Genomic DNA, 27,081 nt, shown 5'->3' with positions numbered 1-27,081 from the left:
AATATGCCAGATCTTCAAACCAAAAGGCACTACATTTGGCCCACTGAGAACTAATTTATTCACCAAAGTCACCTCAATATGCCAGATTGAGTTCTTTGCTTCTAGGAGAATCCAAGATTTAAATCTACATGTAACAAACATATGATACCTAACGTTCACAGAGTGCCAAGAATTTACAAACTACATTTTAAAATAAGATCTCATTTTGATCCTAGATATAATGAAAACACACATCAAACTCTTTCATTCCCTCTTTGACTTCCCAAAGAGGGTCTTTAAAAAATATTCTAATGGATTATTTTCTTATTTTTTCTGTAAAGTCTTTATCACACTGAAAATTACAGTGTGATACAGTGGCATATATTATCATAATGTGATAATATATACTTGATTCTATATCATTTTTTAGTTAAATTTTCCCATATAAGCCTAGGAGGATTGAAGGAGATGTTATTTGTAAAGAGCCTCAACCTAGTGCCCTGGAATATAGACAGTTTGTAATAAATACAAATATCCTTAGTTGTTTCGATTTTGGTCACCTTCTTTCTAATACACCTGTTTTGTCCAACTTATCCACTTCTGCCAATTCCTAAAACATAAATTCAATCATGGTAATTTCACACTCCAACATGTGCTGTGGATCCTTCCTGCCTCTAAAGATGGGGCATAGCTTTCAAAGCCCTCTCTTTCATGCTTCCTCTTTACCATTGTGTTTTATCCAAACTAAACAACTTTCTGTTCAGGGTTTCTCTTAGCTTAGTAGCTTTGTTAACAATGTTCCCATCTACCTGGAATTATTTTACTAAATAATAATAAAAGTCAAATGCATGTTTGAGACCTAGCTCTATGAAATACTTCTACACTTCTTTTTTTTTTTTTTTTTTTTCTTTTTTGAGACGGAGTCTCACTCTGTCGCCCAGCCTGGAGTGCAGTGGCAAAATCTCAGCTCACTGCAACCTCCGACTTTTGGGCTCAAACGATTCCACTGCTTCAGCCTCTGGAGTAACTGGGATTACAGGCATGCACCACCATGCCCGGCTAATTTTTGTATTTTTAGTAGAGACAGGATTACACCATGTTGGCCAGGCTGGTCTCGAACTCCTGACCTCAACTGATCCACCTGCCTCAGCCTCCCAGAGTGCTAGGATTATAGCCGTGAGCCACCGCGCCTGGCCAATATGCTTATAATATTCCTACAGTTCTAACAGCCTTCACCTTCTCTGGTTCCAGGACCCTCTCGGTTCTTAGAGGACATACCTATAAGTTTTGAGCCTTAAAATTAATGGAGTACATACCTTAGCTCCATTATAAGATCATAAGCATATTTAGGATAAAGACTCCATCCCACTCACTTTTGTATACCCAGAAAGGGGTAAAATGCTTTTCACATAGTAAATGCTCCATAAATAGTTATTGAATTAACTTGGCAGAAACTATAGGAGCCATTGACCAGCTTCCTGCCCTATTCAGAAATCAACTCTACATCATTCCCCCTGTCCTGCCTGTGGCTAAAATACGTGCAAGCTCATGACTTCATGACATGGTGTTTTTCCTTGTTGAAAAATTGAAATTATTAGAAAATTTTCTTGTTTTGAGCTGAAATATTCTTTCCACTTCACTCTTACCTCTGCCTGTGGAATTGGAGTACTATTTTTTTTTCTTCTACATGCCAATCCTTGAAATGTTGATACGGTGCTCACCCTCAGCATTCTCTTATCATGGTGAACCTCACCGACCTTTCACCCCCACGTTGTGTTTTTTTTATATGGCTCCATTCTGGTCATCCTCTTTTTAAATGCTGCTCATTCTTATCAGTCTATTTCTTTCAATGTGGAACCCAGAACTGAGCAGAATACTGTGTGAATGATCTGACCAGTACAGAATGTGGTAGAAATATCATCTCCCTCGGTGCGGACACCACATTCCTATAATTCAGCCTACAACTTTAGCAGCCAGATTATGTGGTTAGCTCATAGTGAGCTTCAACAAATAATGATTTAATGAGTGCCTGTATCTGCCAGGCACCATAAGGACCCTCCACATGTTATCTCAGTAAAGTTTATAAAGCTCGATTAAAACTCCCATGTTCTTGTCAAACAAATTGCTGTCAAGAAAACATCTTCTGTCCTCAATGTGTATAATTGTCATCTCAACACAAATCTAAGATTTTTCATTTATCTCAGTTAAATTTTATTATTTTGGTATTGTCTCATCCCTTATCCCAGTTAAATTTCATTATGCTGGCTTTGCCTCATCCCTTTAACCTGTCAAGATCATTTAAAATTCTGTGTCTGGTGTCAAAGATAGCAGTCAGTTTTTTCCAGCTTTGAGTCAACTACCTTGTTGATAAGGAAGCCATTTAGTTTTCAGCTAAGACGTTGCTGAAAAAAGAAAAAAAGTGTTGAACTGAATGGAGCAGAGCCAAGGATGAAAGCTACCTCTCTAGACTCCTTCCTACAGATTTACAATTAGAATCCCTAAAGTAGGGCTCTTCTATAGCTACAAATTCATTAAAGATTCTAGCATTCAACCCACATTCTCCATCATAGTTAAAGGGAGCAGCATGAGCATTTTTAAAGTGTGATTTATATAATGATAGACCTCATGAAATAATGAGATTCGTTTGGCATGCAGCATGCTCACCACTTACTAGAAGTTCCAAACTACTAGTTTGGCAAAACTTTTTATGAAATTGTCCAGGGTTGAATAACAGTCTCATAAATCTTTGGATTCTATACTTTGACTTTTATCCATTTTTGAAAATTGGTCATTTGTTCATCTCTGATCTTGTGGGATTTACTCTGTTCACCATCATTTCCCAGTGATTACCCAGAATGATTTGTTTCACCTTTCAAATGTAATTCATCAGTGTTTGGACTGCTACATTCATTTAAACAGACAAAATGCTCTCATAATCTTTGCTCTTATTTTGTGCTTCAATTACCTCTTGATGGTGCTGTCCTTCCTAATGTGAAAATAATTTTCCCAGTGGAGAGAAATAAAAGCAAACCACCATTTTACCACATTTAACAATATATCATTGTTCCCAAGCGATGATTATATTCATCACTTTTAAAGTCTCATTTACTCCAAAAACAGTATTTATATCACATATACACATATTTTATGCGAAGACTTCTTTAATGTCCCTTAGTAAAGGTAAGAAGTGACAATTTCAGCCACTTGGTCCTTTTCTTAAAGATTATTGTTTCTCTTTTGTATTCAACCTTGGTTATATGTTCTTCCCTTCATATGTTGTACACGTTTTGTTTAAATCAGAGCTCATCAGAAAGAGAGCCCTAAGCAACTATGATGGTTTCCTTGGATACAGATTCTTTATTTTTCTCATCGATATCATTTGTGATTGTATTACCAGATTTTCAATTTTTACTTTCCATCTCCTTTATATTTTCTGCCCATTGAACCCCCCAGGGAGAAAATAATAGCTGTTGATTCTTAAATTGTTTTTCAATGGAATTACCTAAAACCTAAGGTGTACTTTAGTAGCCTTTTCTTGACCTCTAAAATGTCATGGATGCTTTCTCTATAAGTTTCCATTATTTCAGATTCAGGAATAAGCTCCTCTTTGCTGCTAAAGATTAAATCAAGAATAGAAACTTCAGAATGAGAAACTCCCTTCCTTGTTCTGTCTTCAATCTGAGGAATGCTGTTTCATCAAGATAGCACAATAATTTCAAATGCTTTCTATTAGGAGAAGGAGTTGTCGAGTTACATGCCCAGGTGGTTGAGATTTCCCCGAAATTGCTACTTTCACCACTTTATGATTTGTGTAATGCAACATCAGCATCATATGTGTACTTATTAGAAAAGTGAATTCAGGGCCTCAGACCGGACCTATGGGGTGAGAAGCTTTGGAGGTGGATCTCAACAATCTGTGTGTTAGCAAGTCCTTGAGATAATTCTCCTTCTCACTAAAGTTTGAGAAGCACTATTGTAAAGCATCATCCCTACATTCTGAGTGGGAAGCAATGCAATGTATTATCCCTTAGCCACTTACGTTGGCTCAGATATCTGTACCGATGTCACAATTTTCTAAGCAGATGCACATATACCATACATGCAGTATTCTTGCCTTTTCTATGGACATGCTTCTTTTGAACAGAGTCTTCTATATTACACAGTTGCATCCTAACACATTGTAGTAACTGTAAGATATTGAACTTCTAATGTTAAGTTGCCAGTGTTTCAAAAATATATTACTCAGGAGGCTGGGCGCAGTGGCTCATGCCTGTAATCCCAGCACTTTGGGAGGCCAAGGCAGGCAGATCACCTGGGGTCAGGAGTTTGAGACCAGCCTGGCCAATATGCTGAAACCCCATTTCTACTAAAAATACAAAAATTAGCTGGGTGTGGTGGCGCATGCCTATAATCCCAGGAGGGGATTACAGGAGTGCCTCAGGAGTCTGAGGCAGGAGAATAACTTGAACTGTGGGGGTGGAGGTTGCAGTGAGCCTAGATCGCACCACTGCACTCCAGCATGGGTCACAGAGTGAGACTCCCTCTCAAAATATATATATATATTTGTATATATTACATATATATATAAATAGATTACATATATTATATATATAAGTAGATATATAGATAGATGTATTTTACTCAGGCTCAGTGTATAGGTATGCAGATATCTGAGGCCTTTCCTATAGTCTGACTCATTCAAGATTGTTTTGCCTGAGAACTTCTTGGCACCCTCTCCACTATTGGTCTTGCCAGATGATACCAACCACCTATGCCTGCTCTCCTTGCTCCCAAACTCCTCTCACTCTGATCCATTCTTCTGTAAGTCGACCTAAAATACAGCCCTAATGATGGCATTTCCTTGCTGGAAACTCTGCTGATTTTTAACTCCTCACACTGGCATATGAGGCTCTCTGTAATGTTACTTCAACCATCCTCTCCGCACTTTCATTTCATGACTGCCTACTTTGTAGCACACTCTCCAATTCAATGGGATGGGAATGTGTGTTGTGCCCTGGACTTTTCTGCCCCAGGCCTTTTTTCATTCTCTTCCATCCTTTCAGCAGGCCATTTACCTTCACTTCCCCTGTTAAAATCTTTCACTTCACATCTCTTGGGTACCCCACCCTCACGAATCCTTTTTAATGTAACTTAGTTAAGTGTCATTCATCTTGCCTCCTCTCCCTCTGGTAAGCACCAAAGGAGCACAGAAAGTTATGCTTGATGTGCCTGATTACACACCACTTCTTACAATATGCGATTAGGGACTTATCCCTCTGTTAAAAAGGGACATGGATATATCCTTTATCCTTAACGGTATCTGTTGAATGGAAGTAAATATGATGCTGTAAAAATTCATTTAATCATTTCTTCTCTTTCCTTTTCCCCCTCCTAAAATTTTGTCAAATGATGTAGTTAATTTCAAAGTGCCTAAGTAGATTATAACTGCCAAATTATTTGAACTTAGTGATTTAACACAACCATGTGTTATCTTTTAGATGAAAGGCCCCTGGAGTATAACGTTCTTTTGATAAATCTAAAGTTAGTTGTTTATCTTTAGTTAGTTGTTCATGACTTATTTCCAAATGGAAACAGGTGTCAAATATTAATTTATGAAACTTAATGTTTAAAAAAGGCATAAATGTGTGTGGAGAGAGAGGGAAAGGAGAGAGAGAGCGGGGAGATGGAGGAGAAAGAGAGGAAGAAGGGAAGGAATGAGAAAAAAAGAGAAGAAATAATCCGCAAAGAATGATAAATCTACCTATGTTTTGGTCATAAAGGTCTTCAATATTTCTTTCCTCCTCTTGGTAATACTACTATACACTCAATTTAAATGGAAACATCACCTAATATAGGAAAAGAATTATTTTATTCTACACTAAAATACAGGTAAGTGCTAATTTAAGAATTATAAAAAAATGATACCATGTATTTGGACAGTATGTCCTAGAGTTGAGATTTTATGAATCATAAAAAGGCAAGAGATAAGGAAGCTGAATCTGAAAATAGGGGAAAATACTTAGCAATTAACCTTAGGATGAAATCTCTTTCTTGTCTTATCATTATCAATTCATATTTAAGTCTTAAATGGAAAATGACTTGTATTTAACCTTTTAAGATTCAGGGAACCATTTAATTGTAATTATAGCTAATCCAATTAAAGATGGATTATAATAACTGCTGAATTAATAGGTCATGAAATACTGAGTTTAATTAGTAGATTACTATTTATTTTGAAAAAAAGGAAAAATACTCTTTCATGCGCGTCTGTGTGAAGAGACCACCAAACAGGCTTTGTGTGAGCAACATGGCTGTTTATTTCACCTGGGTGCAGGTGGGCTGAGTCCGAAAAGAGAGTCAGCGAAGGGAGATAGGGGTGGGGCCGTTTTATAGGATTTGGGAAGGTAATGGAAAATTACAGTCAAAGGGGGTTGTTCTCTGGTGGGCAGGGGCGGGGGTCACAAGGTGCTCAGTGGGGGAGCTTCTGAGCCAGGAGAAGGAAATTCACAGGGTTAATCACTCAGTTAAGGTGGGGCAGGAACAAATCACAGTGGTGGAGTGTCATCAGTTAAGGCGGGGCAGGGCCTCTTCACTTCTTTTGTGATTCTTCAGTTACTTCAGGCCATCTGGGTGTATATGTGCAAGTCACAGGGGATGCGATGGCTTGGCTTGGGCTCAGAGGCCTGACATTCCTGCCTTCTTATATTAATAAGAAAAATAAAATAGTGTTGAAGTGTTGGGGCGGCGAAAATTTTTGGGGGGTGGTATGGAGAGAGAATGGACGATGTTTCTCAGGGCTGCTTCAAGCGGGATTAGGGGCAGCATGGGAACCTCGACTGGGAGACATTAAGCTGAAGGAAGATTTTGTGGAAAGGGGTGGTATTGTTGGGTTGTTAGAAGAAACATTTGTCATTTAGAATTATTGGTGATGGCCTGGATACGGTTTTGTATGAATTGAAAAACTAAATGGAATAAGAGAAGGAGAAAAACAGGTATAAAAGGTCTAAGAATTGGGAGGACCTAGGACATCTGATTAGAGAGTGCCTAAGGAGATTCAGCATAGTCCTGCCAGCAAAGATTATTTATTTACTTCAAGAGTTAAGAGTGGCCGTTTGGGGATAGCACGAGGAGATATCAGCTGTGATGGCTTGGAGAAACAGTGTGAACTGGCAGTGTAAACAAGAGCAGGGCATATATGAATAGTTGAGAACGGAGAATAGGAGTATGACTAGACAGAAAATAGTAGGGATGACAAGTTTTTTTGGGGGCACAGTCTAAGTTGGTCCGGTGTCTGGAATGAGACTGGGGCCTAATAAAAAGGAGCATCTATACAGGAGCTTAAATGGGCTGTAGCTTGTAGCATTCTGAGGACAGGTCTGACTTCTGAGAAGGGAAAGTGGTAAAAGTATTGTCCAGTCATTTTTAAGTTGGTGGCTGAGCTTGGTGAGGTGTGTTTTTAATAGACCATTAGTCTGTCACTGAATACTAAGAGCCTGAAAAAATGCTTGGCTGATTTGACTAATAAAGGCTGGTCTGTTATCAGACTGTATAGAGGTGGGAAGGCTAAACTGAGGAATTATGTCTGACAGAAGGGAAGAAATGGCTGCGGTGGCCTTCTCAGACCCTGTAGGAAAGGCCTCTACTTATCTAGTGAAAGTGTCTACTTAGACTAAGAGGCATTTTAGTTTTTGTGACTCAGGGCATGTTGAGTAAAGCTAATTTGCCAGTCCTGGGCAGGGGCAAAGCTTCGAGCTTGAAGTGTAGGGAAGGGAGGGGGCCTGAATAATCCTTGAGGAGTAGTAGAATAGCAGATAGAATAGCAGATGGAACACTGAGAAGTTATTTCCTTGAGGATAGATTTCCACGATGGAAAGGAAATGAGAGGTTCTAAGAGGCGGGCTAGTGGCTTGTATTATAGCATGGCCTGCCTTTGCTGGTGTGTGGCGATTAGGCCTGGTGGAACTGCCATCAATAAATCAAGCGTGATCAGGGTGAGAAACAGGGAAGAAGGAAATGTGGGGAAATGGGATGAACATCAGGTGGATCAGAGAGATGCAGTCATGGGGATCAGGTGTGGTATCTGGAATAATGTGGGAGGCTGTATTGAAGTCCGGGCCAGGAACAATGGTAATTGTGGGACTTAACGAAGAGTGAGTACAGCTGAAGGAGCCAGGGAGCAGAAAGTATATGCGTCAGGTGTGAGGAAGAAAATAGATTTTGGAAGTTATGAGAAATGTAGAGAGTGAGTTGAGCATAGTTTGTGATTTTGAGGGCCTCTAAAAGTATTAAAGCAGTGGCAGCCGCTGCACGCAGACATGATGGCTAGGCTAAAACAGTAAGGTCAAGTTGTTTGGACAGAAAGGCTACAGGGTGGGGTACTGGCTCTTGTGTAAGAATTCTGACTGCACTAACCATGCCTAGGAAGGAAAGGAGTTGTTGTTTTGTAAGGGATTGAGGTTTGGGAGATTAATCGGACACGATCAGCAGGGAGAGCACGTGTGTTTTTACGAGAATTATGCCGAGATAGGTAACAGATGAGGATGAAATTTGGGCTTGACTGAAGTAATGGGGTCTGTCTGTGAAGCCTTGCGGCAGTACAGCCCAGGTAATCTGCTGAGCCTGATGGGTGTCAGGGTCAGTCCAAGTGAAAGCGAAGAGAGGCTGGGATGACCCGTGCAAAGGAGTAGTAAAGAAAGCACGTTTGAGATCCAGAACAGAATAACGGATTGTGGAGGGAGGTATTGAGAATAGGAGAGTATATGGGTTTGGCACCATGGGGTGGATAGGCAAAACAATTTAGTTGATAAGGCATAGATCCTGAACTAACTTGTAAGGCTTGTCTGGTTTTAGGACAGCTAAAATGGGGGAATTGTAAGGAGAGTTTATAGGCTTTAAAAGGCCATGCTGTAGCAGACGAGTGATAACAGGTTTTAATCCTTTCAGAGCATGCTGTGGGATGGGATATTGGCATTGAGTGGGGTAAGGGTGATTAGGTTTTAATGAGATGGTAAGGGGTGCGTGATCGGTCACCAAGGAAGGAGTAGAGGTATCTTATACTTGTGGGTTAAGGTGGGGGGATACAAGAGGAGGACGCAAATGAAGCCTTGGATTCTGAAGAAGGGCGGCAATGAGATGCAGCTGTAGCCCAGGAATAGTCAGGGAAGCAGATAATTTAGTTAAAGTGTCTCCGCCTAATAAGGGAACTGGGCAGGTGGGGATAACTAAAAAGGAGTGCTTAAAAGAGTATTGTCTAAGTTGGTACCAGAGTTGGGGAGTTTTAAGAGGTTTAGAAGCCTGGCCGTCAATACCTACAACAGTTACGGAGGCAAGGGCAACAGGCCCTTGAAAAGAAGGTAATGTGGAGTGGGTAGCCTCCGTATTGATTAAGGGGACGGACTTACTTTCCACTGTGAGAGTTACTCGAAGCTTGGCGTTTGTGATGGTCTACGGGGCTTTCGAGGTGATCAGGCAGCGTCAGTCTTCAGCCACTAAGCCGAGAAGGAGTCGGTCAAAGAGCCTTGGGCCAGAATTCCAGGGGCTCTGGGAGTGGCTGCCAGGTGAGTTGAACACTCCGATTTTCAGCGAGGTCCTGCACAGATGGGACATGGCTTGGAGGAATCCTGGGCTGCAGGCATTCCTTGCCCTGGTGGTCAGATTTCTGGCACTTGTAGCAAGCTCCTGGGGGAAGCGGGCCTGGAGGAACGCCTGGCCGCTGCAGTTCAGGCGTTTGGAAGTTCTTGTGTGCTGGAGATGTGGCTGGGGTTTGTCTCACAGTGGAGGCAAGGAATTGCAACTTTTTTTTTTCATTATTGTACACCTTGAAGGTGAGGTTAATTAAGTCCTGTTGTGGGGTTTGAGGGCCAGAATCTATTTTTTGGAGTTTTATTTAATGTCAGGAGCAGATTGGGTAATAAAATGTATATTGAGAATGAGATGGCCTTTTGACCTTTTAGGGTCTAGGGCTGTAAAGCGTCTCAGGGTTGCTGCCGAACGAGCCATGAACTGGGCTGGGTTTTTATATTTGATGAAAAAGAGCCTAAATGCTATCTGATTTGGGATAAAGAAAAAGGAGCATTAACCTGGACTATGCCTTTGGCTCCAGCCACCTTTTTAAGAGTAAATTGCTGGGCAGGTGGGGGAGGGCTAGTCACAGAACGAAACTGTAAGCCAGACCAGGTGTGAGGAGGGGAGGTGATAAAAAGATTACAGGGTGGAGGAGCGGAGGCTGAGGAAGAATTGGGGCCTAGCTTGGCCTGGCGAGGAGGGGAGAGGTCAGATGGGTCTGTAGAAAAGGAAGATTAGAAAGACTCAGTGACGCTTGGGGTTGGGACTGAGGGGACAGGCGGGAGGGAAAGAAGGAAGATTTGGGACGAGTTGCACTGGGCACAGAGACTAGGAAGGGACTGATGTGTAAAAGAATGCCTGGACGTCAGGCACCTCAGACCATTTGCCCATTTTATGACAAGAATTATTTAGATCTTGTAGGATGGAAAAATTGAAAGTGCCGTTTTCCGGCTATTTGGAACTACTGTCGAGTTTGTATTGGGGTCAAGCGGCATTGCACAAGAAAATAAGACGCTTTGATTTTAGGTCAGGTGAGAGTTGAAGAGGTTTTAAGTTCTTAAGAATACAGGCTAAGGGAGAAGGAGGAGGAATGGAAGGTGGAAGCTTGCCCATAGTGAAGGAGGCAAGCCCAGGGAAAAGAGTAGAGACACGGAGAAGGGATGGGGGTTTCTTGCCCTCCAGAAAAGCAGAGAAAGTGTTGGGGCACGGAAATAAGGGATTGGGGCACAGAGATAAGAGGTTGGGGTGTGGAAATAAGGGATTGGGGCACAGAGATAAGAGGTCGGGGTGCGGAAATAAGGGATTGGGGGTTCTTGCCCCCTAGAAAAGTGGGACTTGCCACTAAGGGTGAAGGAGAAGGGGTTGAGGGGTACTTGCCCTTCCCCCAGAAAAGCGGGACTTGCCGCTAAAGGTGAAGGAGAAGGGGTTGAGGGGTACTTGCCCCTTCCCCAGAAAAGCAGAGAAGGGGTAGAGACAAGGAGAGAAGGGGTTGGGGTACTTGTCCCTTCCCCAGAAAAGCAGAGAAGGGGTAGAGACAATGAGAGAAGGGGTTGGGGTACTTGCCCCTTCCCCAGAAAAGCAGAGAAGGGGTAGAGACAAGGAGAGAAGGGGTTGGGGTACTTGCCCTTTTCCCAGAAAAGCAGAGAAGGGGTAGAGACAAGGAGAGAAGGGGTTGGGGTACTTGCCCTTTTCCCAGAAAAGCAGAGAAGGGGTAGAGACAAGGAGAGAAGGGGTTGGGGTACTTGCCCCTTCCCCAGAAAAGCGGGACTTGCTGCTAAGGGTGAAGGACCAAGGCAGGCGTCCCTGCGTGGTCTGACACCCTTGAAACGTGGGTGAATAATCAGGCGTCCCTGCAATGATTAAACACCAAGGGAAGGCTGCCTTCCCAGTCCGTGACCAGCGCCGGAGTTTTGGGGCAAGTACCCCAACCCCTTCTCTCCTTGTCTCTACCCCTTCTCTGCTTTCCCAGGTTTCAGCACCAAATTTCATGCGTGTCCGTGTGAAGAGACCACCAAACAGACTTTGTGTGAGCAACATGGCTGTTTATTTCACCTGGGTGCAGGCGGGCTGAGTCTGAAAAGAGAGTCAGCGAAGGGAGATAGGGGTGGGGCCGTTTCATAGGATTTGGGAAGGTAATGGAAAATTACAGTCAAAGAGGGTTGTTCTCTGGTGGGCAGGGGCGGGGGTCACAAGGTGCTCAGTGGGGGAGCTTCTGAGCCAGGAGAAGGAAATTCACAGGGTTAATCGCTCAGTTAAGGTGGGGCAGGAACAAATCACAATGGTGGAGTGTCATCAGTCAAGGCGGGGCAGGGCCTTTTCACTTCTTTTGTGATTCTTCAGTTACTTCAGGCCATCTGGGTGTATATGTGCAAGTCACAGGGGATGCGATGGCTTGACTTGGGCTCAGAGGCCTGACATACTCTTTCTAAGGTATTATGTGAAAACTCTAAAATTTTCATCTAAAAATTATGGAGATTGCATTATTAGAAGAAAGAGGAGACAGAGGAGAAGGAGGAGGAAGGGGAGAAGAAGGAAAAAGGAACAGCATAGCATGAAATTTAGGAAAAAAATCTGAGTTCTTACTTTTATTTTTTTCTTTAGTTTAAATTATTTTATATTTGCAATCCTGGAAGAAGAAATAATAGTAACTGTTTAATTCCTTATTTCACTAGACAAATTAAGATTGTTAATACGTACGCTCACAGAACAAAAAGTAATAATTAAATGACAGTTTTAGTCTTTAAAAACTACAAATCACAGTGCAATACAATCTAAATCACTTATAGACATTTTGCATCTATTTGTTTTATATTTAGGGAAAATAATACAGTTGCAGTTAAATTAAGCTAAGTGACCTATGCTAGGGTCAGGCGAATTATTTCAATATTCGTCTTTGTTAATTTGTTTTTAGAAAAACTGCGGTAAGAAATACAAATGTAAATGACTAAAAACAAAGACTTGGCATGACAAATAATTCCACAAGTAAAATTAAAGGACTGTTTTATGATGTATGTACTGTAGATTATGCAGTGTTGTGGGCCTCAATCTTGCTTGCTAGTCACACAAACATATACAAAGGACCTTGCTCCCACAGATGTACACATTTAGTCCAAATCCTCAAACTGGGAAGTCCTGGAGCAACATCAGCAACTCCCTCACCATAAATATGGCATTTCCTTAATTCTATGCTGCACTATTTTCATATTTAATATTTCTGAAATCTGGATTCATCTTAGAATTGAAATGTAAGAATGCATGTGGGGTCCTCAAACTCTTGTTCCACTGCATGGGGAATTTTTCAGGTTGACATAAACTAAAGTAGTATTAAAACCCATCCCTCTAAGAGTGTCTTTTTTCCTTGGATGGCCCAAAAACTATGTACATCATGGTCAGAAAGGTATTTTTCTGAGGATATTGCTCTTTTTTTTTTTTTCTATTAAACATGCTGGTAAAATGTGTCAGAGTATACTGCTTTCTACTCTTATAAAATAACCCGTGGGTTATATTTTCAAGATGACAAAAGCTATTTAAATGAGATAGTTAGTGGACATTTTTAAAAAACTGAAAATCAATCCAGAATATGTGCTTGAGGAACTCTCAGGGAACCAATTCGAAGATTTGCACGAGGATCCCAGGATTCCTAGTCATTTTTTCAGCCTTGGGCCATGTAGGTACACAGAAACATAAACTGGCACCAGAGCTAGAATACCTAATTTAGGGGCCCCAGGCCAGGGGGTGTTAAGATTGCTGGGTGCTCAACACTCTCCTATGGGGCACCCAGGCATGTCCCAGAGGAAATGTGTGGCTACTGAAAAGTGCACTGTGGTTGTATACATCAGATGCACAAGTAACACAAAAGGCACCACATGTGCCACACACTGGAGAGTTTTGCTACCTCCCCGGGGGAAGCCAAAATGCGCCGCTGCAGCACTTGGAATGAAAATGCATTTTCTGTGAGCAACAGCCTCCTTTGAAGAAACTGCTTTCTCTTTCAACATTTGGAAGCTGCTTGGCAACCCACAATCAAGGTTTTCGTTATGTTGTTTTAAACAGGCCCATTATCAGTGTCTCATCTCTCTGAAAGCTTCAGACTTCATCATACTGTTTTTAAAGATTAACATATTATACCTGATAAGCTTCTAAAACTTGCAGCCTTACTAAAGCTGACTGTTCCAGCACTTTCTTCCTATTAAAAGTGAGTTGCACAAGAATTAAAATAGATACTGTTTGTCTACTCTTTTCTTGCGATAAGAAGGCAACACTTCACTTGTTCTGATGTTCATTTTCTATCCGTACATTCAGGAATTCATTTTTAAGATGTCCTTTCTTTTGTCAAAATGTTAGATCTGTGCAAGAATTTATAAAGGAAAATCATTTCAGACATGTTTGTAATAGGCAATATTAAAAGTAAATTTGAAGGCTACAGTGACTTATTGCAATATTTTGTTTGTCAATAGTCTAATTAGAAACTAAGAATATTCTTATATTCGACTAATGCTGATTTGTTACCTCACCTGTCAATTCTTACATAGTATAAAAGTAGATTTGGAAAAACTGAAAATAAATATATGTATAGACATTGAGCAAAAATAGCATTTTTAGCTTCTTGAAAATTGTAGGCTTTATCTGTAATGGCAAATTTTAAAAAAATTGTGACAGATGCAATTTATTTGGACCTAAGTTTAATGAGTGAAAGGCTGAACTTATGTAAAATACTAAAAACTACAGTGCCCTAAAATCTAAAGTTGCAATGGCAAATCAAGATTGGAAATATTAATTATCACTACCTTGCACAGTAGAATTGTGTGACTTAGGGCTAAGAAAAGCTACAAAAGAGCCCAGAACTACATATCTCAAAACTTTAAATTAATGGGTTTCCAAAGAGGAGTTATGTAGCACATAAAAATTAAAATTAAGATTAGAAGAATGTAATAGTGTAAGTTGAGTAGATAGAACATTTCTTACGTAGTTTTAAGGATTTCTGCTAAGCTTTGACTCATTGATAGCAAGAATAACACACAAAGTAATATTATTACTTAAAATTGTCACGACTTATTGAACTAACTTATTTAAGATTTAAGCTACAAAGATTGGGCCTTTCAGTTAACATAAAACAAACAGTTACATAATTGTACTGTTGCTCAATTTTTGACTTTAGACATAGTCAGCTCATGTTCTTGTCATGTGTTGAAGCACAATTTTTCAACGTTAGCCCCAAATCATAGTTCCATGCCAGCAAGTGAGGTTTCCCCAAAATAAAGAGGATTTCTCATCCAGTTTGAACAAAAAATAGCTACATTGTTGATTTGTTGAATGTTTTTCAAATGCAATAATTTTTACATTTTGGATTTAGAGAAGAGAGAAGTAGGAGAGAAGGCAGGAAGGGTAACACTTAAAGACAGAAGGGCAAATATTCTAACACCATTGAGTGTTCACTCAGAAAACAGCAATGAATTACGTGGCCTGTGATATTTAATGAGCCCTGTATAATTTGCTCTATTATTAGTCAATATTTGGCTTTCTGTGAGCATTTACAAAATTATACCTTGATGAACAATAGGTCAAGTCAGTTTTTCCTTCTTGCTGACAGAGAATCATTGAATCTTTTAAAAATTGTCAGAGGTGATCCAGATGTCATTAGTGCACTAGATTCTTTCATGACTTGGGGAGGAGCCACAGACTCTCATCTGTCAGAAAGCCTGGTGGAGGGATGAGTTGCTTGGCACTAATAATCTCATTCATGTACTTAGTGTTACAGCTGTCTAAATAAGAGTGCTTTACTGTTCTTATATTGGCACATAATTAAATATCAGTTCTAAGTTACATAGCAAAACAACAAAATTCTAAAACCCAAAGCAAAAATTAACTTCTATATTGAAATACTTGAATTGCCTGAAGTGGGAGGAAGGGCATTATTTTACAGCAGCCAAAACAAGCTTTTGTTTGTTTGTTTGTTTGTTTTGTTTTGTTTTTGTAGTTAGAAGGCAACTCCACGTAGTGAAGAAGGACAGGTTTTGGAGTTTAACCAACCTAGGTTTTACCACCTTGAGGAATTTACCCTGTCTCTCTGAGCCTCAGTTTCCTAACATGACTGTCAGAGGGAACAAGATCATGAATGTAAAACATCAAATATCCTAAGTGTTAGTCATTTCTCCTTCTTTCTAGTTGCAAGTATGCCTTACTTCCTTCATACCAAATGTAATTACCATAGCAGTGTCTAGAATGTGTCAAGTTGTGACATGAAACCTAAAAAATACAGTCAGTATCTTTAGTTTGGGACTGACAGTTTTAATTGTCATGTTTTATTGTTCCCTTACACATCTTGATATTTTTTTCTGACATATATCATACAATATCTTTATACAAATATTTTAATGTATTTGAGATATCAAAATAATTTGTAATATTTTCTGTTATGTAACCTGTCATCATATAGACTTGGCAGATGTATTAGCAATTAAAAGCATTTCCATAGAAAAGAAATGGTAAGTTATTCAGACTGTACTTTTCCCCATCACTTCATTAATTAGCACAGCATATTAAGGATCTATTTTATGTAGAAAGTAATATGCAACTAAATGTAATGAGCAAAGATTTTAAAATATTTCAGAAAACGGTAATTCATGGTGCGTATTATTTTTACCACTGGGTTGATACATGTGCTTTTTATCTTTTTCAAATATCTGAATCATCAACTGAATTTTTCACTTGCATTTGAGTATATCCACTTATTGGTATATTTTCAAAAAACAAACTTTTGTTTCTTTAACTTTTATTTTAAGTTCTGGGGTACATGTGCAGGATGTGCGGGTTTGTTATATAAGTAAACGTGTGCCGTGGACATTTGCTGCACAGATCCACCCATCACCTAGGTGTTAAGCCCAGCATCATTAGCTATTCTTCCTGATGCTTGCCCTCCCGCCATTCCTCTGACAGGCCCCAGTGTGTCTTGTTTCCCAACATGTGTCCACGTCTTCTCATCATTCAGCTCCCACTTATAATTGAGAACATGTAGTGTTTGGTTTTCTGTTCCTGCGATGTTAGTTTGCTGAGGATAACAGCTTCCAGCTCCATCCATGTCCCCGCAAAAGACATGATCTCATCCTTTTTATAGCTGCATAGTATTCCATGGTGCTTATGTACCACATTTTCTTTATCCAGTCTATCATTGATGGGCATTTGGATTGATTCCATGTCTTTACTATTGTGAATAGAAACAAACTTTTATTAAACCTGCTTTCTCTTAAATACTTTATTTTTGCTTGAATTTAAATGAAATTAGTAGTTAGCTTCACTTTAAATTTAAGGATATTCTTGATGATCTTAAAAATCAATCTGTTAAAAAGATGTCTAAGTGGAAAAACCCAATATTATTGCTTATAATACAAAGATATTTATATTTCTATATGTTTTTTAAAATTATGAAATAGTATATTTTTATTAGAGTTGAGCTGAATGTTATTTGAACTCAGAGATGAACTTTATATAATAGCTTAAAAATAATTGTATGTTTTACTTGTTTATCTTCTCCCTGTAACGTTTATTTTAAGATCTCACTTCTAGTTTAAAATATTCGATTAGATGTAAGATAAGAAGGGAAATTTCACAAACCTTTGGGACACACTGGATTCCAAATGTCTTCCCATCCAGCTGAGAAAACTTTTAAAAATATAATTCTGTTCTATATAATTTCATACAAGTGTTGTTGTTTGGGATGAGGAATGGTAATGGATCTTTTGTGGTATCCTTTCCCAATTAATTAATGCCTCTTTTAGGAGAAGTTTGGTCATAAGAGTTTTACAGAGAACATAAGGCTCTGCTAGCCAATGGAGGAGAGTTAATTCTGGGTATACAATAGACAAGTAATTAAAGGGGACAAGAGGCAAAACAGTTTTGCGGAGTGACTAATACCCACTCTTTCCAAGGGACATGGTAGAGGAGCAATGAGGACAAATTATGGAAATGAGGCACCCTTGGCTTGTGACAAAACTCTGAAATATTGGAAGAATGTTTCCTCTTAGTTTTATGATCAGTATGAATTACTCCTCTGTCCTTAAATGTTTAAACTCCATTTGCCAGGTGTCAGCCAGGAAACCCATTTTTAGCTGCTAATTTGTGTTTTCTGTCATCTGAAAATTTTTTATAAGTGTACAGTCTGTTTCTCTGAGGTTGACCACATAAATTTGAAATAATTGCTGATCTTATCCATCCAGAAGATCCTGGCAGTTTCACAACTGTATAGGGGATCCAGATATTCCTCTCAGGAGTCTTAATTTGACCCAGAGAAGGAGCAACGCATCCAGATCCACAGAAGAAAGAATGGAGCATCCATCACTTCTGCCAGGCCTTTGTCAGGTGACCCTCAGAGCCCCATTAGAATGTCTTCTGTAGGGAAAAGCTTGACTACATTCTTGGGTTAAGAAAAGGTGATGCTGTTTATAACTGCTGAGACAGGGGGCTGAGAAAGAGTTGGATATATCAGTCTAAATGAAACCATAAATTGAATAGAGCATGAATGTTTACCCCTGTGGTCCTATACCCACATTCCCTCCAATTTTCAGACTAGACATTCATTTTTGTAATGATTGCATTCATGCATGTTTATCTTAAAGTGGTAGAAATCAGGTGATTGATTAAATCCAAATGCTCTGGATGAGATTTGTAACCCAGCAGCACTGCAGACTCAGACTGCTTCAGTTAGGAAAGAGTGAAAGGTGCATTAAGAGAAGCAGCTGATCAGTTCTTGGCAGGCAGAGTACTGCTGAAGTAACAATTTGCAGTAGTTTTGCACTCCTGTCAGTGCCAGTTGGCAAACTAATGGAGATGATGGAATGAAAGAACAAAATGTCACAACAGAAAGGAGTGAGTTGAAAATTCAAACATTTTCTTATTTCTCATAATCCTGCTCAATCAAAATGAAATCAGCATCAGTCTACAAATGAACCAACTCAATAGTGAATAAGAGGCAGCTATCTGCACATTTTTTTTCCAAGTAGGAAAATCGATTAACAATATTGTGACCATTAGCTTGTTCAAAACATCATCATGGTTTGTAATAACTCAGAGGACTAATTTATAAACAAGAATATTGATTTTAACAGAGTAAGTTTTAGTTGAGAATAGCAACTGATACAGATGTTGAAACTTTACATTAAGGATTCCGATGTTGGGTTGTAGTGGAATATCAGTGCCAAGGCAGCAAAGTCAATTTTAAACTATTATTTTGCTAATAGTAAATATAATGCAACTCCTATATATCCTCCTAATATAGATCATCTGGATTTACTATGTAATCTTTGCCTGACACTGCAGACTACACTATGAAAACCAATTCTATGTACACATTACAAATCATATTTTTAACTTCAAAGATTTAAGTGTTATTGACTTCCCATGGTTCACTCAGTTTTAATTGTTTTTGTAATCTAGATCGATTACCTCAATTTTTGACTCTAGGAAAAAAAACATAAACTTATTTATCAAAACAAGTAGGAGAAAATCAAATTAGCACATCATATCAGAAGTACAGCACAAGATAACTAAATGTGAAAAACAGATGCTGCCAAACATCATAAATATCACCCCAGTAAATACACTGAAGAGTAGATCCTTTTACTTCAGCTGAACTATGAAACAGCAGCCATTAACACATCAAGAATGAACTACAACTTGCCAAAGGTTGAAAAGTAATTTTCTCCTTAATATGATTTTAGAGTGCAGCAATGTGGTGGCTTATTCATTTTTCTCCCATTGGGTATACAGGATAAGTTGTTTTAATATTCACATGAAAATAGATAAATAACTTTATTGCATGGCTGCTATAGAGCTCAGAGCCAAAGTTGTGTGCCTTGTTATTATTACAAATACATCTTAATATATGCTTCCTAATTGCATTTCTGGTTCAAATCTGATTTTTATATTCTCACTTTACATTTTGCTATTCTGTTATGTTTTTCTGTATTTATAAATGATTGAATCACATTGAATAATGTAGGATTATAGCTGTGTCAATCTGTTAGTGCCTGATAGTATTTTAAAGGCATTGATTACAGGGTATTTTATTTATATGTAGTGTTATCCTGCATATTTATTTCATAAAGGTAATCTTCTAATTACTTATTATTCTACACTAAATTAGTCTTTGGACCAAGCAGATGTGCACGGTTAATTTCATAAACAGACTTGGTAAAATGCAGTCTGTTTCATTGCCCCGTTGATCAGTACCGAAGCCGTATAATGCAGTACCATACACCATATTTAAAATACCTTAAAAATCATATTGTTCTTTGGCAGAATTAAGCCATTCCTAAAGGAGAAAGGCCTATCCCATTCTTAAGAAAAGAAAAACTGCATAACTTATCACCTGAATATTTTCTGAAACCTTAAAATAAAGCTTCTACATTGGCAGAGTCTAAATTCCTCTGACATCAGTTTCAGCAGACTGGAGGTTAGCTATTACACGCCAAAATATTTCTCTTGTATATTTCCTGTTGGAGTAAGTCCTGTTACTAAGTACCTTTTTTTAGCATTAAGAAAATCAAATTCTGTTTTTGCTTTTTCACTGGTGAATAGAGGGGTTGGGATGAAGTATGGCCATATTTTTTCCATTGAGTTTTTTTGACAAATAATAATTATGTATATATATGGGGCACATATGACACCTTGATATGTTTATAAAGTGTAATGATCAAATTATAGTAATTGGCATATTCATCACCTGAAATATTTATTATTTCTTTGAGTTGGGAATATTCAAAATTCTCTCTTCCAGCTATTTTAAAATGTACAATAAATTATTGTTAACTAAAGTCACTCTATTATGCTATAGAACACTAAAATGTAATCCTAATATTTAACTGTAATTTTGTACTCCTTATCCATCCAGCATTTCTTTCCTGAAGATAAATGCTGTAAGAATTTTTTTTGCTGAATCTTCTTTTCTGAGAAGTTTCTCTCAGCAATTCTCTCCTATGCTTGTTGTTTCCTACAGGCAGTTTATACTCCATTGAGCTATGAGTTTATCTTTGTAATTCCAAAATTTGATTGTGTTACTGTTCTGCTAGAAAAATGACAACTGTCTAATCCATGACCAGATGAGAGCTAAAACCCTTAGTGTGGTGTGGAATCTTGCTATTCAGGTGTGATCCTAAAACCAGCAGTATTACCATCACCTGCAGTCTCCTTTCAGAGGCAGAATGGCAGGCCCAGCCATGACCAACTGAATCAGAATTTAAATTTTAAGATCACCCAGATGATATATTTTCATTTAAAAGCTGAAGCCCTAGTTCCAAAGACCACTCCAGTTTAGCCTTATCTTGCCCCTATAGCCTGGTCCTTCCACCTCCTCCTTCCCCTCCTTCTACTTTGTCTCCACTGGCTCTCCCTTCTCTAGGCTCACAATGGACTTTTCCTGCCTCTAGCTCTTTATGTACAAAGTGACCTCTGTCCAGAATTTCCTTTCCTGACCTAAGAAACTTCTACATAGTTGTTATGACCGAGACCAGATATCCTCTCATCTGGAGTTTCTTTTCAAACTATGGCATCTGACAAATTACAATTATTTGGTTCTGTCCTCTGCTTTATAGCACATTTTGCTTCTATCTTCTTAGCGCTGATTGTGTTGTTAGAATTACCTGCTAACATGTCTCCTTCCCCCACTAGACTCGGTGTATGTTTGTTTTTTTTGTTTTCTTTTGTTTTGTTTTTCCTCTTCTCTGATACTTAGTAGAGTTCAGGTACATAGTAGGCCCCTAGAAAAATGTTTGTTCAGGCTGGGTGTGGTGGCTCACGTCTGTAATCCCAGCACTTTGGGAGGCTGAGGCAGGCGGATCACAAGGTCAGAAGTTCCAGACCAGCCTGGCCAACATAGTGAAACCCCGTCTCTACTAAAAATACAAAAATTAGCTGGGCATGGTGACGCCCACCTGTAGTCCAGCTATTCGGGAGGCTGAGGCAAGAGAATCGCTTGAACCTGGGAGGCGGAGGTTGTGGTGAGCTGAGATTGTGCCATTGCACTCCAGCCTGGGCGACAGAGCGAGACTCCATCTCAAAAAAAAAAAAATGTTTATTCAATAAATTTATGAAAGAGTGGATACTATAACAGATCTCTACATTTTGCTCAAGGCAAATAGAAACAAGCATTGTCACCCAAAAGACCACAAGGATGGTAAATTGGTAGAAAGGAGAGTTTTATTGGCGTTATCAATTTCCAAGCTGGGAAGAGAAAGTCTCCACAAGGCACAAAGGTGCTCTCTCTTCAGAGAGGGGAAGAACAAGTTGGATTTTATGCCTCACAGGGCCAGTATCATACATATTCAACAGGTTTAGGGGAAAAGCTGTATATATTTATGAGCAGTGTTGAGCACACGCACAATAGGTAAACATGCATGTAATGTACATCCCATGTTCACTGTGGGGTGGGGTTTGAGCATTAAAAGAGGTGGAATTTCGCTCTTTCCATGAAAAGGTGAACTATAAGACCCAAAGACAGTTTGTGTGCAGCCTCTACAAACTGGCTGAAACTGGCTTAAGGTCTGCCATAGCTTTTCAGAAAAAAAATGTAAGGCCAGTCCTCTGTTCAGTCAGGGTTGTAGTGGTCTGGGTAGTAAATCAGCCTAATAGCTCCTACTGTTAGGGTATTTAGCAGGGCTGTGGTTTGTCTTATGGTGGTAGAAATTTGGAAATTTGCCCTACCAGCCAAGCCCTGAGCCTTGACCCATAGGAAACTTTTGTTTCCTTAACTTAGGGACCATCTTAATTGATAAAGAGATGTCTATTTCAGTTTTTCCTATCATAATATTTACTAGAGAGCAGTTTAAGCAATTTCCTGTGTTATTCTCTAGAACAGGGTCCAGAAATTACTCAGGACCAAGTTCAGGGCTCAGCCACTGTAATTTAACCCAGGTTGGCTTTAAAAATTAGCTGTTGCAGCAAAGTTGATAATGTTTCTTAATAAATTCCACCTACGATTGAAGGCATACAACACCTACATGTGAAAACTACACTGCTGTCAATTCATTTAGAGGACAGATGACATTGTTTGAATCACAAGTAATATCAAGCTGCATTAGAAACAAACTCCCTCCCTGTACTGTCAAAGTTAAAGCAGGAAATGAAACCTCCATTCTCACACAGATTTATGAGGGATGTATTGTCTGAGGTGAAACCCCAAAGTAAATGCAAAGGAAATTTTTCTATTTTAAAATGCATATAACTGTGTGATTGTGGGCTTCCACTTAACTTTCAATTGGAAGTCATTGGTCTACAATTTAAAGACATGCTAAAAGGCATATATTGAGAGATGAATCTAGTGGAATTCTATGAATTCCTTCCAAGTGACAAATATACTCAACTAAAATCATATGCTCATGAATTTATGTAAGTCTTTAGCACTACCTATCTGGTTGGAAAAACATATTCAAAGATGTAAGAAACAAAATCTTATTACAGAAGAACATTTGCAATTAATTTCAATGATAAAGAATACTAACTTTGAACCTCAATTATGCAAAATGTTATATACTCCCCAAAGAATTTCATTTTCTCACTAGTAGATTTGTATTACACAATATTCACTCCATTTTTACTATTATATTTTGGATTTTATCAATAACAAATTTGTGAAAATTAGTTTGGTATCTTGTCACATAAGTAGTTGGACAACATACTTGATTTTGCCCCTTGGCCCACAAAGCCTAAAATATTTATTCATTGGCTTCTTACAGAAAAAGTTTTCTGACTTCTAGAAACAAAAGCAGAGATTAAACATTCAAAACAATAAATATGTATTTATTAAAGGTATATTTATAAGCTCTGAGAATAAAGTAGAGACATTTTCACCAATTCAGAACTTGTATTGTCAAGTAGTATGCTTACCTATTTTCTAAATAATTTGGTAAAATATATAACAATAATATTGGTATATATTTAAAATATGTATGTGAATTACTTTCTGAAATTGGCATCAGAATAAAGGGCTATGAAAATTATATGGGACCTCAGGTGGAAATCTACATATAAAGTATTTTCATATCTGGACAGCTCAGGTCTAGCTCAGATTTACTTACTTTATGGACATTTTACATCTGCTGTACAAAGAAATTTGGTCTTCAAGGAATTTGTCTTGTCAGGTAGCAAATTGTTATAATTTTTTAAAAGCTGAAAACTGCCTTCATATTTAGGTGTGCTGAATACACTCTCAGTTCCTGAGACAACTTCTGTAATTAAACCGGCAAGTATCTCTTCACTGTTTACTGTACACTTCACATCACCCATAGAGGCATTTCTGAACACACAAGGAGGGCACTTCAGAGCTGGAGAAAGGGGAAATTCATTTTGTCACACTGTGACTTATATATACTTTTTAAAGACAAAGCAATTTTCTCTGTCGAAACTTTGATTCTTTTAGAGCTATTATGGAGGAGTAGTTACATCATTCCCAAAATTTTTACTGCAAAGTGGTTGCCTGTTAGAAACACAATCCTTACAGAACTCTCAAAAACTGGCAGTTGCTGTAGGTAGTCAATTGAAGAGGATCAAACACATCTGTTGGCATATCCATCTGTTACCAAAAAATCTCTAGTCTAAAATTCTTGCTAAAAAAACTTCCATTTTGATTAGAACATCACTGAGAAGCTTACAAAATTGAGACTGAAAGTCATTACCTTTATGGAGTAAATCATAAGGAAATAAAAACAAATGTCTCTCAAGTAGATTAATTTTATTCCAAATCTATTTTTTTTTTTAATTAATGGAACTGTTACCAGTGGAGGGTATCCAGATTCTTGGCATTTGGAACAAAGAATTAGGTAAAGCCCACAAACAAAGCAATGAAAGAAAAGCACCGATTTATTGAAACAAAAGTACACTCCACAGAGTGGGAGCGGGCTTGAGCAAGTGGTTCAAGAGCACTGGTTATAGAATTTTCTGGGGTTTAAACACCCTCTAGAGGTTTCCCATTGGTTACTTAGTGTACACCCTATGTAAATGAAATAGTGATCAGCAATCAGAGGCTGAAGTGATGTTACAAAGTTATACTTCTATGCAAATGAAGACTTGGCCTGGGACCAGTCTGATTGGTTGTGAGATAGAAACCAATCAGAGGTCCTTTCATCTGCCATGCAGAAAAGTGGGGGGTGGGGAGGTGGAAAAAGAGTCACATATGGTCCTTTTGTTACTTGGGCATGGAAAGTTGGAGTTTTCATTTTGGAGTTTGGAGTTCTAGGAAGCTAGCCTTAATCAGCCTTAGGTTCTCTGCCTCCAGACCCTATTCTCCTTCCTCAGAAACAAAAAATTTTCTTTTTAACTTAAGTACTTCTCACTCATTGTTTTTCCTTTCCCCAGTGTTCTATTTGGATCCCATTAAATAAATTACCATCTTACTCACTTGAGGAATCTTTTACTTCTACCTAGTAGTTAACCTACTACCAGTATTTTAAATTTTTATGCCAAATTTATGTGAGCACATAACAGTATATACCAGTATGATATTAAATAATTTTAAGTCTACTTATCATTGAGTTGATTATAGGTCTCAGAAATAAATTCTAGTATCACGTATAGTTTCTGAAAATTATCCTTAAAGGTAGCTATTCATAACTCTGAGAGAGCACTGTGCTTTTGGAAGATTTCTGAAACAGTCTTTTTACTACATCTGATTACAGACATTCTGTTATAGCCTCCATCTATCAGTAATCACATTTTAAGGTATCATTTGTCAAGAAAATAATTGGTCAAAAACATTACAAATATCAAACATCTATTGAAAATATATACAGCAGTACTTATTAAAATGGTGCTGTTAGATAACAATGAAAATAAGAAAAATACGTTTTTGAAAAAATAGCTATATAAATAAGATGTCATTGTTCTGAATGACTATTGAGCCATAGATGTTTGATCTCTTGCTTAAAAGGTTTACAAACTCTTATCAGCAATCATAAGTAACATGATGCACTGAGATTTAGCATTTTTAATAATCCTGATCTTGATTCTTTAATTTCTTACGTCATGACAAAGGCAGCAGTCTTAATTTATATAAAAAGATTTCTAATACATAGGTCTCACATCTCACAAAGATTCAGACCAGCTCTCAGAGAATACTTTTTAAAATACAAGTAGTTACATTTTAAATAAAATTATTTAGCTGTTTTGTCAATCTTTTCAGATTGTTAACAACTTGAACAAAACTACAAAATTATTTCCTTTATGGTTATATCCAGTGACTAATATTAGTATATATTCTTTTAGCAAAATATACTAACTTAACCATATATTGAATTGATTCATTTATTTTCATTTTGCTTACTAAATAACACTAGGCAAATCTTGTGATTTACTCTGTCTTAGCAAGTTTCACGTATACAATACATTATTATTAAGTATACTCACGATGCTGTACATTTTGTCTCTAGAACTTATTCATCTTATAAACCAAAATTTGTACTCTTTGACCAACATCTCCCCATTTCCTCAGTATCTCTCCCCACTCCGTAATCACACTCTGCTCTCAGTTTCCATGAGTTTGACTCTTTAGATTCCACATATGAGATTATATAGTATTTGTCTGTGTATAGCTTATTTCACTAGGCATAATTGTCTCAAGGTTCATCCATATTGTTGCAAATGGCAAGATTTTCTTCTTTTTAAGTCTGAAAAAAATATTTCATTGTGTTTATGTGTATCACAATTTCTTTATCCATTCACCTGTTGATGGACACTTCAGTTGTTTCCATGCCTTGTCTACTGTGAATAATGCTGTAATGAACATGGAAGTGCAGATAGTTTATGAGGTGGTGGTTTAATTTCCTCTGGTATATACCCAGAAGAACAGATTGATGGATCATATAGTAGTTCATTTTTATTTTTTTAGGAACCACCATACTATTTTTCCATAATGTCTGCACCAAATTAAGTTTCCACCAACAGTCTATAAGAGTTCCCTTTTCCCCACATCCCTGGCAACACTTATCTTTTGACTTTTTTATAATAGCCATCCCAGCAGACGTGAGGTGATACTCATTGTGTTTTTCATTTGCATTTCCCTGATTAGTGATGTTAATCACCTTTTCATATAACTGTTGACCATTTAGATGTAAGCTTTCGAATAAATGATGGCCTTTGCCCATATTTTGATTGAGTTTTTTGGGGGGTTTGTTTTTGATTTTTGCTATTGAGTTGTAGAGTTCCTTATATATTTTGAATATTAACCCCTTCTCATATACGTGGCTGGCAAATATTTTCTCCCACTCCATATGTTGCTTTTCACTTTGTTGATTGTTTCATTTGCTCTGTAGAAACTTTTTTGTTTGATGTAATTCCACGTGTTTATCTGACTTTTGTTGCCTGTGCTTTTGGTGTTCTATCCAAAAAATAATTGCCAAGATGCCAAGATTGATGTCATACAGCTGTTCCCTGATGTTTTCTTGTAGGAATTTTACTGTTTCAGGTCTTATGTCTAAGTCTTTAATCCATTTTGTGTATTCTTGGAGCTTTTGCTGAAGATTAGTTTGTCTTATATACATAGGTTTATTTCTTGGC

General features: G+C 38.1%; 1 protein-coding gene across 5 annotated transcripts in view, besides 2 other annotated features; it reads left to right on the top strand.

Annotated features, from left to right (window-relative positions):
* Window positions 1-27,081, top strand: part of TMEFF2 (transmembrane protein with EGF like and two follistatin like domains 2) — a 245,888-nt gene that overhangs the window by 52,588 nt on the left and 166,219 nt on the right. The window lies entirely within an intron of this gene.
* Window positions 10,705-11,396: an enhancer, noted in NCBI's record as "NANOG-H3K27ac-H3K4me1 hESC enhancer chr2:192995676-192996367 (GRCh37/hg19 assembly coordinates)". NCBI's record gives its function as "activates a minimal SCP1, AML or CMV promoter by ChIP-STARR-seq in primed H9 embryonic stem cells {active_cell/tissue: H9 hESC(primed)}" and the evidence as "EXISTENCE:reporter gene assay evidence [ECO:0000049][PMID:30033119]".
* Window positions 11,397-12,089: an enhancer, noted in NCBI's record as "NANOG-H3K27ac-H3K4me1 hESC enhancer chr2:192994983-192995675 (GRCh37/hg19 assembly coordinates)". NCBI's record gives its function as "activates a minimal SCP1, AML or CMV promoter by ChIP-STARR-seq in primed H9 embryonic stem cells {active_cell/tissue: H9 hESC(primed)}" and the evidence as "EXISTENCE:reporter gene assay evidence [ECO:0000049][PMID:30033119]".

The sequence above is a fragment of the Homo sapiens genome, chromosome 2 (genome assembly GCF_000001405.40).
Source record: "Homo sapiens chromosome 2, GRCh38.p14 Primary Assembly".
Lineage (NCBI taxonomy): Eukaryota > Metazoa > Chordata > Mammalia > Primates > Hominidae > Homo > Homo sapiens.
The sequence above is the reverse complement of the archived record's forward strand: the minus strand, read 5'-3'. Positions and strand labels throughout refer to the sequence as shown.